At 50.4% G+C, this 11166-nt stretch overlaps 1 protein-coding gene across 4 annotated transcripts in view, besides 7 other annotated features; it reads right to left on the reverse strand.

Annotated features, from left to right (window-relative positions):
* SLC7A1 (solute carrier family 7 member 1) overlaps positions 1-10383 on the reverse strand; it is an 86275-nt gene extending 75892 nt beyond the window's left edge. Inside the window, exon 1 of one of the 4 annotated variants that reach the window (XM_047430551.1) lies at positions 10317-10383. The gene's annotated coding sequence lies outside the window, so the exon portion shown is untranslated. Of the gene's footprint in view, positions 1-1419; positions 1488-9838 lie in introns of those variants that run through there. The other 3 variants (NM_003045.5, XM_047430550.1, XM_005266507.4) reach the window with 3 other exon arrangements.
* Positions 4022-5018: an enhancer, noted in NCBI's record as "H3K27ac-H3K4me1 hESC enhancer chr13:30163464-30164460 (GRCh37/hg19 assembly coordinates)". NCBI's record gives its function as "activates a minimal SCP1, AML or CMV promoter by ChIP-STARR-seq in primed H9 embryonic stem cells {active_cell/tissue: H9 hESC(primed)}" and the evidence as "EXISTENCE:reporter gene assay evidence [ECO:0000049][PMID:30033119]".
* Positions 7179-7680: an enhancer, noted in NCBI's record as "H3K4me1 hESC enhancer chr13:30166621-30167122 (GRCh37/hg19 assembly coordinates)". NCBI's record gives its function as "activates a minimal SCP1, AML or CMV promoter by ChIP-STARR-seq in naive H9 embryonic stem cells {active_cell/tissue: H9 hESC(naive)}" and the evidence as "EXISTENCE:reporter gene assay evidence [ECO:0000049][PMID:30033119]".
* Positions 7681-8180: an enhancer, noted in NCBI's record as "H3K4me1 hESC enhancer chr13:30167123-30167622 (GRCh37/hg19 assembly coordinates)". NCBI's record gives its function as "activates a minimal SCP1, AML or CMV promoter by ChIP-STARR-seq in naive H9 embryonic stem cells {active_cell/tissue: H9 hESC(naive)}" and the evidence as "EXISTENCE:reporter gene assay evidence [ECO:0000049][PMID:30033119]".
* Positions 9047-9341: a silencer, noted in NCBI's record as "tiled region #7938; K562 Repressive DNase unmatched - State 1:Tss". NCBI's record gives its function as "represses a minimal TATA promoter and a strong SV40 promoter by Sharpr-MPRA in K562 cells {active_cell/tissue: K562}" and the evidence as "EXISTENCE:reporter gene assay evidence [ECO:0000049][PMID:27701403]".
* Positions 9047-9399: a biological region, named in NCBI's record as "Sharpr-MPRA regulatory region 7938".
* Positions 9270-9399: an enhancer, noted in NCBI's record as "active region_7521". NCBI's record gives its function as "activates an Ori minimal core promoter by ATAC-STARR-seq in GM12878 lymphoblastoid cells {active_cell/tissue: GM12878}" and the evidence as "EXISTENCE:reporter gene assay evidence [ECO:0000049][PMID:35858748]".
* Positions 9510-10749: a silencer, noted in NCBI's record as "silent region_5222". NCBI's record gives its function as "represses an Ori minimal core promoter by ATAC-STARR-seq in GM12878 lymphoblastoid cells {active_cell/tissue: GM12878}" and the evidence as "EXISTENCE:reporter gene assay evidence [ECO:0000049][PMID:35858748]".

The following is an 11166-nucleotide window of genomic DNA, read 5'->3' on the forward strand; positions in this document are numbered from 1 at the left end:
ATGTGGTGGAGTTGCAGGTGAGGTGTGGCTCATATGTCTAAACCTAGTGTGTTTTGCAAACTCCAAGTTGCCACGAGGAATTTTTCTTGTAATGAAATAGAAAAGAATAAAAATTATCTCAGCGTATCACAGATAGTAAAAATGAGTACTGTTTCATAAAAATTTTCATTTTATCTATATATCAATATGTGTGCCTCTGTGTGTGTACTTGATTACAATGTAAATTTAGTTCTTATTGTAGACTGCGGTCAAAGAAGTTTAAAAGCCGCCATCCTCGGGAACACCCAGTGAGTACCAGTGTGTGCGGGTAACCAGTAGTCCCATCCCAAACAGCCCAGAGAAAGGCTTTCCCAGCACCGGGCTTCCAGAATCCTGTGCTAAGCTGACAGTACAGAAGAGGCAGCCAACAGGGCTCTGAATCCCAAGTGCCTGAAGGAGGAATGAAACAATCTCACCAGAGAGGAAAGGACAGCTGTGACAGTCACCCTCCCTGAACAAGACCACTGAGACCAGGGATGGACATCTTCCAAGCTAACCTACAGTGCAGGTAAGAATGGGAAGCTGCATTTTTAGATAACTATCCATTAGAAACCAGGACGACATATGAACAGTGTATCTTGGTAGCCTTGGATGCTCAAGGATGAGAAACCCTGGGCAAACCAGGCAAAAATTCTCAACCACAGGACAGGACAAACTGGCCCAAAGGTTCCTTAGTTACAGAGTAAGTAAGAAGAAGCTGTAATTCTACCCCATCTGGGAACATTAGGAAAAAGACAACATCTGATACTCTGATTTCAGTAGAACTGGATTCTTCCAAAAATATAAATGTCAAAGTCACCCATTCACAGTATAATTTGTACCAAAGTGCAAAATGGGGTATGTATGTGTGCCAAAGAACAAAATCTACCAGAACTGAGCTGCTAGGGCAAAATTACAACAGAAACTTAAAATAATATATTGTCCCATCCACCTGCCAAAACATTAGCTCAAAGACATTCCTCCTTTAAATACAGTTTTACTAATTATAAGAATAGTCATTCAATAAATATTTCTTGAGCACTATTTTAGGTGCCACAAACACTGCAGTGAGAAAAACAAAGTCCAATTTTTCCAGTCTTTTCTTTCTGTGCAAATACATATATCTCATTAAGCTAACACGGAACATGGGAAATTGCACCCAGATGGTTTCACTTTTAACATTAAAGTTTCTCCCACAAAATCAAATGTTCTTTGAAAACGCCATTCTTACTGGCTACATAGTATTCTAACATGGAAATGGTATCATGATTTACTGAAAGACACTCCCAAATGCTTACCACAAGATAAAAACACAAAGGAGAGACATCATTAAATAGAACGTTAGACCTAGATTCAGAGCCTTAAGGAAAAAGAAGAAAAAAAAGGAAAATACAATCTTACAAATCTCAGAGACCCCACTATTTTCCTCCACAGGGATGAATATTCACATCCACACCACTGGCCACATCAAGCTCTAATTTGTGCATCTCCCTTTATAAGCCCCACTCCCTCTTTGATCGAAGAGAACATTGTCTGCACAGAACAATACGTTTTCATTTCAATTTCCCTTCTTTTCAGGAAAGGAAATGTTTGCACTTCAAAGGGTTTCTTTGAAGAGTAGCCCTTCAGCTCTGGCCCGTCCAGGTTGGGCGTTACGTGGACTCAGCAGGGTGTGTGGAGTCTGGGCGGCTGCCCACCGAAGTCACTCTCAAGGCCAGCTCCTTCAAGGAGAGGGTCTGGGGCCGGAGTAGAAAAAACAAACACATGGAAAAATACTCAAGGCTTTTGATCATGACCTTCAGAGGCCCATTTTCACACATAACATAGACTTACAGCTCAGGGAAACTGAGGTACAAATGATGGGGAGCTGAGGACAATGACGTAGTAGCTTCTAAGAACAAAATCCTTCCAGAAACCAGACTCGCTTAGCAAAGACCCGTTCTGGGCCAGGAAAGGGGAGAGCCACTCTCAGTTCCAGCTGTTATGGCGAATGGACCACCTAAGCGGACAAAGCAGGGAAGCGAGATCCAAACTTCACTACCTGCACCAGTTTTAAAACCTTTCCCTAGGAACTTTTGAGAAGCACAGTCATTGGCAAACAGCAAACTTCACATGGTAAAATTTCACATTTTATTTCTTCCGTAGCCCACTGGTAGGGGCCAAGAGGCTCATTAAAAGGCAAGTCTAACAACCACATGAAGCACCCAAGAGCTCACTGATATGGGGCCAGTGCTGTTTCCCTCAATCACGCTCCAGGCCCCATCCTTAACCTCTGCCAAGTCCAGGAAGCAAGGGGTATAGACCAGACAAGAGTGGGCCTGCAACATTTCTTTTCAAGTCTCAAACAAGTTCTGGATATTTATTAACGATCTCCACCCTTCCCCACCTGGAGGATATGCACCACAAAGGCACCACCAAGGCTGGTTAAGTCTGCCTGCTCGGTGGGCACCTGCCCAAGGGGTGGGCAGGAGCATGAAAGACCGTCAGCTCCAGACAGGGGCCGGCTCCTCCCACAGCCCCAGGACTTGGCTGCGGGGCTCCTGACTAGTGTGTGGGTGGTGGAGGGATCACGAGTCTGTGTGGCCAGGTCACCAGAGCTGAAGGAGCTGAGAAAGTCTTTCCACCACCTTTCTGGTCGATCACTCAGCCTCTGAGCTGGAATTATGAATGGGTTTTATTTTCTCCTTCTTTTAATTTTCTGTAGTTTCCAAATTTTCCACAACAAACATTCTAACTTTTAGAAACACTTTTTCTTAAAAAGGCTTATGAGGTAGAAAATCACACCTCTTTTGAAAGAACCCCCACACTGCAAAACTCCTTCCCCAAAAATACTTAGCTATAAAGGACATTATGTGGACGACTGCAAGTCAAATATGGACTGTGGCCTAGATCGCAGGGTTGTATTAATGTTAAATTTCCTGACTTTGCTATTGTACCATGGTTATGTGAGAGAAGAGCCTTGTTCTTAGGAAATATACACTGAAGTATAGAGGGCAAATAAAATGGCATGACGTCTTCAGCTGACTCTCAAATGGTTCAGAAAAAAATGTATGTGTCTGTGTGCATGTGAGTTTGTGTGGGGTGGAGAGAGAATAGAAGGAGGCAAAACATAACCCACCTGTGCATCTGAGAGACGGTACCCAGGAGTTCCTTGCACTCCTGCAAATTTTCTTTTCTTTTCTTTCTTTTTTTTTTTTTGAGACAGTATCTCACTCTGTTACCCAGGCTGGAGTGCAGTGGTGTGATCTCGGCTCCCTGCAACCTCCGCCTCCCGGGTTCAAGTGATTCCTGTGTCTCAGCCTCCCGAGTAGCTGCAACTATAGGCATGCGCCACCAACACCAGGCTAACTTTTGTATTTTTCGTAGACATGAGTTTCACCATGTTGGCCAGGGCTGGTCTCAAACTCCTGGCCTCAAGTGATCTGTTTGCCTCAGCCTCCCAAAGTGCTGGGATTACAGGCGTGAGCCACCATGCCTGGCCTCTGCAACTTTTCTTTAAGTTTGAAATGTTATCCAAAAACTGCTGAAAAAGAAAAGGGGAAAAGGAGAAGGGCAAAAGGGATGAGGGAAGAGTTCTCCTAACTCTAACTGCCAGTCTTTCCCAGGGGCCTTCACTGGGTCCCAGAAACTGCACCCTAACGCCCCCAGCTCCTAGACCAGGCCTCATCCCAAGGGAGGGCAGGAGGTGTCCCTGACACTGTGGAAAAGCTGCGGGCCAGGAAGACTCTCCCAAGTCACTTTGGGGAAGACGGGCCCTTGCTGCAGGCCCTGGTGTGGACAGCTCCTGCCCCAGCCTCTCTGAGAGTGTTAAAGATGCATCCTCTAAGGAAAGGGGGCACCTCCGCAAGATATTGTAGAAATCAGCAAAGCCAAGCCAAGGGCAGGATGACAGCGGCCACTGGCCTTAAGAAGGATGGAACACAGAAAAGGAAGCTGACTTTCCCCTACGAACAGTCTCTGATTTCCACAAGACCCCCTGCAAAGGGGTCTCCCCAGGTGGAGATGGAGGTGGAGTGTGGGCGTGGCTGGATGGTGATAAATCAAACAAGGCTCCATTGTGGTCTGGGCAGGAGGCATTGCATCCAGCCAAAGGCTGGTGATGTAAATGCCAAACTACTGACCCAGAAAGAATGCAGCCCAGCCTCCGTCACACACACCGGCTCCTGACACTGGCCACGTCCCAGCGCAGCTGCCCCAAGGACCCCAGGGCTCCAGCTGTGCCAGGTGCCTGGACTTGGGAGGGGGAAGACCCACTTTCAGAGACAGCAGAGGGAAATCAGGGCAAAGAGAGGGGAGGCAGGGTGCCCTCCAGCGTTGGGGCGGGTGACCGGTGCCAGCACCACCTGGACTCAGCCAGAAACAGAGGGACGCAGGCAGATGGGCTTCAGATCTGTCTGCCTCCCACTCAGTGTACACAGGGCAGGCCAGGCCAGGCCTATCCCGAGACAGGCTGGAGTCCAGGTACAGGCAGACATCTGGGTTCCAATCTTCACTCTGCCACTGACTGCCTACCTGTGTGCCCGTGGGCCACCTGCCTTCCCCTCTCCCCATCAGTCACACCAGAAGGGCCGATCCCACTGGGTGGTTAGGAAGATTCAAATGAAACATAGATAAAGCGCAGAGTACATGGTGAGCACTAAATAAGTGCTTGCAATGATTGATCTTACCTAGCCCCAGGGCCCCTCCCTTCCTTCCTACTTGGCCTAACAGACTTTGGCTAATGGCACTCAGTAAGCAGACAAGATGCAGAGAAGGACACTTCGAACACGTCCATAACAGATCAACTCCAGCCACTTTGTGGGGAGGATGAGCCCCTGCCTTCTCACTGCTGCCCCCAGGTGGGTGTCGCCCACCACCCCTGTGCTGTATGGAGACATCCTATCCTACAGACCCAAGCACGGGATGAGTGAGGTGGGAAACACGGCCCAGAGTTTCAGCTTTTCAGCTTTGCTTTTTCTAAAACCCAAGGGCTTCGGAGTAATTTGAACAACATGTTTGGGATGACTGTAGCCAGGGCAGTCACTCCCGTCCTGCCCCCCACCAAACACACACACATACATATACACATACACATACACATACACATAAACATACACATACCCACACACAGCAAACACTAAGAAAGGGGCTGAGAGCTCTGTTTCCCAGGAGTCCTAGAAGTCACTGAGCGCAAGGTGCATGGGTCTGAGTCCTAAGCAAACCTGCACCCCATGCTCAGGGAGACATCAGGATTCCAAAGAGAGATGGCTTCAAGTCCATCCAGGCAGTCAGAGCCAAAACAGCCCAGAGACTATTGTTCCTTCCCTCAGACCTGGGACCAGATGGGATGGTGAACCTGTCAGCAGATGCCTCAGAGGCCCGCATCCCTCCTCCAGCACCCTGGGACTATGTCTGCCCCTTCTAATTTAGAAACCCACCCAAGGAAAGAGCACAACATTTTAATGCCTTGGTAAAATGAGAGAGCGAAATTAAGTTGTTGTAAAAATTATTTTTCTCAGGGCTAGGCTAAGTGGCTCACGACCATAAACCTAGCACTTTAGGGAGGCGAGGCAGGTGGATCACTTGAGGCCAGGAGTTTGAGACCAGCCTGGGCAACATAATGAGATCCCTTCTCTACCAAAAAATAAAAAATAAAAATTAGCCGGGTGTGGTGGTACACACCTATGGTTCCAGGTACCTCAGAGGCTGAGGTGGGAGGATCGCTTGATCCCAGGAGGTGGAGGCTAATACAAGCTGTGACTGCACCACTGCACTCCAGCCTGGGTGACAGAGTGTGACCCTATCTCAAAATATATATATATTTTTCTCCCACACCTAAATCAAGGAACTGAGCCTTCTTTCCAGTATAATAGTTAACACTTACATGCAACATTTAGACTTGTGCCAGAGGCTGTGTTAAATCCATAACATGGATTATCTCATTTAAATCCTCTCAGTCCTATAAAGTAGGCACTAGAAGGCAATTATTATGCAAACAATATGAAAAAGAATTTAAATGTGGTTCTGAGGAATATCTCAGAAAAGACACTGACCCCGTAAGTGGAACCCACTCTGGGGCTCTGCTCTTTCTGCCAGTAGGGATCATGATGTCTCCTTTGACCCCACAGCGTAGAAGCCCCATAACCTCATGTTGCAGAGGCCCCATACCGAGCAGAGGCCACTCCCTGAGTCACCACTGCTAGATGGTTTCTACAATGCAGAACTCACTGTGCAGGACACGGCAGTGTGGGATCCACTTTTAAAGAAACAGGAAAGCAGCTGGTTGCCCTCACAGCCAAGAATCCGATCTGAACAAGTATTCTGAAGAAAGCACTGCAGTAGGAATATGGAAAGCTAGGAAACAAAATTGCCATGCCCTCTGTGCCCCCAGAAAAGGGAGGGGGGCAAGGGGACAATCAGAAAAAAATGGAAAGACAATGTAGCCAGACATAGTCCTACCAGAAGAAGGGACATCCTCTCCCACCTCCAAATAAACCCCCAGGTTTCCTCGCGCTTGATTTTTGGTTGCCACGGTCAGAAATTTTTGGTTGCCGTGGTCAGAATTGCAGGCTGCTAACAAAAGGACTGATCTCAAGAGAGAAATGTAAATGCATGGACTTGGTGCCTTGATTCTTTCAAAGAACACTGTGGACTCCATGCTTCCTAACTTCACTACTGTGAGGCTGAGAGGGACAGGCTCTCCCAATATACAGATGGAGCCAGTATGTAAGGTTCACGAAGTCTAAATTACTTCAGAGAGAAGCAAAGCCAGAGAAGCCAGGAGCGGTGCTGTTCCCAGTATTGGTCCCAACTCCCCTCAAAGAAGCATCCTTCGTTTCAGGGCAGATAATCATCCCATTCTGCATTGAAGCTGTGAAGGCCTCTTCCCTCAGTCACACGGCTCTGATTCCAGTTATCCAGTGTGTTCACCAAATGCAATACCTGCCATTCCCCACTGTTCCTGACAATAACTAGAGGAAAAAAGCCCAATGAAAGCCACTGGGTGTGGCAGGAGGGGCAAACCACAGACCAGCCAGAATCTGGTCCAAAGCCCAGAAACATCTTTTCTGAAGCCCAAGTTCCTGGGATGACCAAATCTCGACCAGTGGGCCAGGTAAATGGCATCCCCTGGGTCTGCCAACACTGCACATCTGAACGAATGCCTTGGGAGAAAAAGGAACACGGCTAGCAAGCCACCAAATCATTTTCCCAGTTTGATGCCCATCCTTCTGGTAATTCCATTTGGAAATGTACTAAGCCTGGATTGACAGATCATGACCCACACTGAACCACAGGGGTGGTTATTTTCAAGGCTGCTTTGTAGATGGGTATGGGAGTGGGGGAGGAGGCAGATTATGGCAAAACAGAAAGGGAGGCCACTAAAGTTTATCACAAGGCAGATAATCTGCCACAAATGAAGCTACTACTCTGTTCCCTCACGGGAAGAGAGGTCTAAACCCTGGGGTGGATAGCAGGTTGGCCAGGGATCTGATGCCTCCCCACCCGAGGCCTGGGAAACCTGAGGGTAGGCAGATGTCCTGAAGATCCAGGAATACCCCAGGACCTTTGAACCCCATGTATGGAGGGTCTCCATCCCACAGGACAAGTCCACCACCAGGCGGCCCACTAGAAGGCGGCAGGGGAGCAAAGGGAGGCCATGGGCAGCAAGGAGACAGAGGCTGAAGAGACCCCCCAGATTTGGCGAGAGGAGCCAGTAAAGCTAGGTGAAGGGGAAGGAGGCCAGCAGCCTGGACGGGTGGCTGCAACACACAGGCAGGCACCTGAGAGGGGCCCCAAGAAGATACATCTTCCAGCCCTGACCCTGGGGATAAGAGTTCTAAAAAGGTCAGTTGTGACTTTCAAAAAGTCCCTCTTCCATCCAACACGTTCTTTGCTCAGCCTTCCCATCTCATTAATACAGCAACTCCGATGTGCTTGGAGTCATATTTGACCTTTCTCGTCCTTCCATGAATCCACCGGCCAATCCTATTGGATCTGCCTTTAAAATCTATCCAGGTCTGCAGGGGCCAACTATACAGAAAAACACCACATCCTATCGGAAGGTCTTGCTTGGAGTGAGGACCAAGAGGCAGGTGGAGTGATAGGCATCTCTGAAGATGCCTCTGGAAGAGATAACTCCGAGACTCAAGTATCTCCAAGGTTAGAGGGAAACAATATTTTTCTCCATAACAAGGATGCACTTATTCACATTTCAAATTTGTCCCTAGGATTAATAGCAATCCCTCCAAATACATGGTTGATAATGAGAAAGGATTAATTTAATTGGACATAATTCTGAGCCCTCCAACATAATTATCTATTTGTATGGACTTTGGTTAAAATAAACTACAGACCAGAATAATCAATCAACACGTATTTAATTCCATCAAAGAATGAGTTCTTCTACCAAATAGAAAATTGTAACTCCCTGAAGTCAACAGTCTTGTCTTTCAAGCCTTTCTTTTTTTTTTTCACCTAAAGCAAGTAATCATATGTACAGGAGCACGTGGCTCTAGGATCCAGACCCAGACAAGGGAGTACATTTCTGATCTACTTACTAAGCCCTTTCCTCTTTACTCAAAACTCCTTTGACATCCTTTGAATTTTACCTTTATAATAATTAAACATGATCGTAATATGCTAAACCTATTTTTAAAACCATTTTAATCTATTGTTGACCTTTCCCCTAAGTTTCTATTCTGTTCGTGTGACTTAAATAAGACCTTTTGTTTTAATAACAGGAGGGTGTGTTCATATAAAAATCATGGTAATTTCCACTGAGATCAACTAAAAATACCAGAGGAATAAATGTATCATGGTTTCCTATTATCTGAACCAAACATAAAGGGCAAGAAATGTTAGGAAAAATCCCAGATAAATTATAATTCGAATTAAATACAATTAGGGCATTCGGCCAGAGGCCGACATACACAATTCTACTAGTCGAATGTAAGTAAGATAAAAGGCACATTCTTTAGGGAGATACACCTGGGATTGAAATCTCAACCATCTGGTAACTATGTCTGGACTAAAACCCAACACATGAGGGCATGGCGGTGATGACGTGAGTATTGGGAAATGTAGGTTATTTATTTATTTTTTTCCTGAAGGCACATGTCTGACTATCCTAGTCACACAAGTCAAACACAACTGCTGTCTGGTTCCCCCATCCCCTGGAAAGGGTCAGGAGCTGAACCAGCAGGCTGTTGTAGTACTACAGTGCAGCTGCCGCTCTGTGTACGCGCAGGTTTTAGAATGACTCTGACCTGCCCATGCCTGGGAAGTTTTCTACTACGCAGAAAGGAACACCCTGAGAATACGGTGTCTTGCTAAAGGCGGAAGAACTTCCTCTCATTCCAAACCATGTGGAGGGCTTGAGGAACCCGGCCTTTCCAGGCCACACTGGGTCACAAGGAAGCCCACCTAGGGGAGACTTCCTCAAAGCAATCTTGGGGACCCAGACGAGAGGTGCAGGCGGCGCGTCCCGGGTTCTAGGGACAAGCGGAGAGCCAGGCGCCCTAGGTCAGGGCGGCCACCGGGCGGGGATGGCAGCAGAGTCCCTGGGCCGGCCACCTGCCGCGGGACCACCCTCCGGGCGGCCGGGCAGAGTCCCCACCCACGGCTGATGACACATCCCCGGACCTCGTGGCGGGGCGGGGTGCTCTGCACCGCGCCATGTAAGGGAAGGTCTCCTCGCCGCCGGCGGGCTCCGTGTGCCTCCCAGTCTGGCCCCCGTGCCCGCCGCCCGCCTACGCACCCCGACCACCCCGTGCGTAGCGGCGCGCGGGTCCCCGGACAGGCGCGCGGAGCGGGCATCGCCAGATCGCCCACGCTTACTCACTCGGTGTTGCATCATGCACCACGCCGCGGTTTCAGGGAGCCAAAATGGACTCCGTGGAGGCGACAGTCGCATGGGCACCAGCCCCGCTCGCCCACTCCGGGGCCCGCCCGGCCCTGGTCCTGGCCCTTCCCAGAGGATGGCAGCGTTCCCGGCGCGGGGGCCCTCGCCACTCCCGCGCCGCCCTGCCGCGGCCCCACGCGGCGCCAGGGCCCCCTCCGTGATGACCCGGGCCCAAGGAGCTGCCCCCTGCGTTGGCGGGGCCGGGCACTCACCAAGCCGGCGGCGGCGGGGCTCCGGCAGGATCGCGAACAGACAGACTGTCGGACGCGCTCAAGGACCAACGGACGCTCGGCCGGCGAGACCGGGCGGGGCGGGGCGGGGCGGGGGCGCGGCGCGCGGGGAGAGGAGTGGAGGCTGCGGTTAGCGGGAGCCCGCGGCCGCGTGCGCGCCTGCCAGGTAGTTGACCCGCTGCTCACACCTGCCTGCGCGGACTGAATGGGCGCCGAGGGCTGGCGGGTTCCGGCGCCAGGTTTCATCAGCAGTGCGCCCGGCCCCCGCCCCTCGCGCTCCGCGCCCCGCGCCCCACGCCCGCCCCCGGACCAGGCAGCCCCGGCCCGCTCGGCCGCGTCACCGCCGGGCACCAATGGGAGCGCGGCGCGGCGGCGGCTGCCAGCCCAGAGGCTGCGGCCGGGGACCGACGCGCCCTTGGTGGGCGGGGCGGCTGAGTCTTCGCGCGCCCAGCGCCCCAACCTGGGGTTCCCGCGGCGGGCGGGCGGGCTGCGCCTCCGCTCGCCTTCTCAGTAGCTCCGTAGGCGTGTGGCCGTTTCTCCGCCAATCTGAGCGCACCGCGCCACAGCATCCTGTGGTCCCCTGCAGATCCCACAGCGCCCTGGCCAGAACTAGTGCTGCAGGTCCGGCCGTGCCAACCCCCTCCCGGCGGGCCCCAGGGAGCTCACACGGAACTCGAGACCAGTTTTCCTTCTCCAAAATAAAAGATTTGGTATGCACTTAAAAGGTTTAAACTGTTTTCTTTTCATTTTAGAGACAGGGTGTTACTCTATTGCCCAGGCTGGAGCGCAGTTCACCTTAACCTCGAAATCCTGGCCTCAAGCGATCCTCCCGCCTGGGCCTCCCAAAGCGCCCTAGGATTACAGTCCTGAAACACTGCACCGGCCTAAAAATTATTATAAATCTTCATGTCTTTGTTATTGGATTATTTTATTACTATTCCTTTGCCCTTGCTAATACCTTATCCTTGCCAGTTGTCAGAAGAGCCCCAAAGCTTGAATCTACCTGTGCCCCCTTGGCAGTGGCAAATGCACAAACGG

Source organism: Homo sapiens, chromosome 13 (genome assembly GCF_000001405.40).
Source record: "Homo sapiens chromosome 13, GRCh38.p14 Primary Assembly".
NCBI lineage: Eukaryota > Metazoa > Chordata > Mammalia > Primates > Hominidae > Homo > Homo sapiens.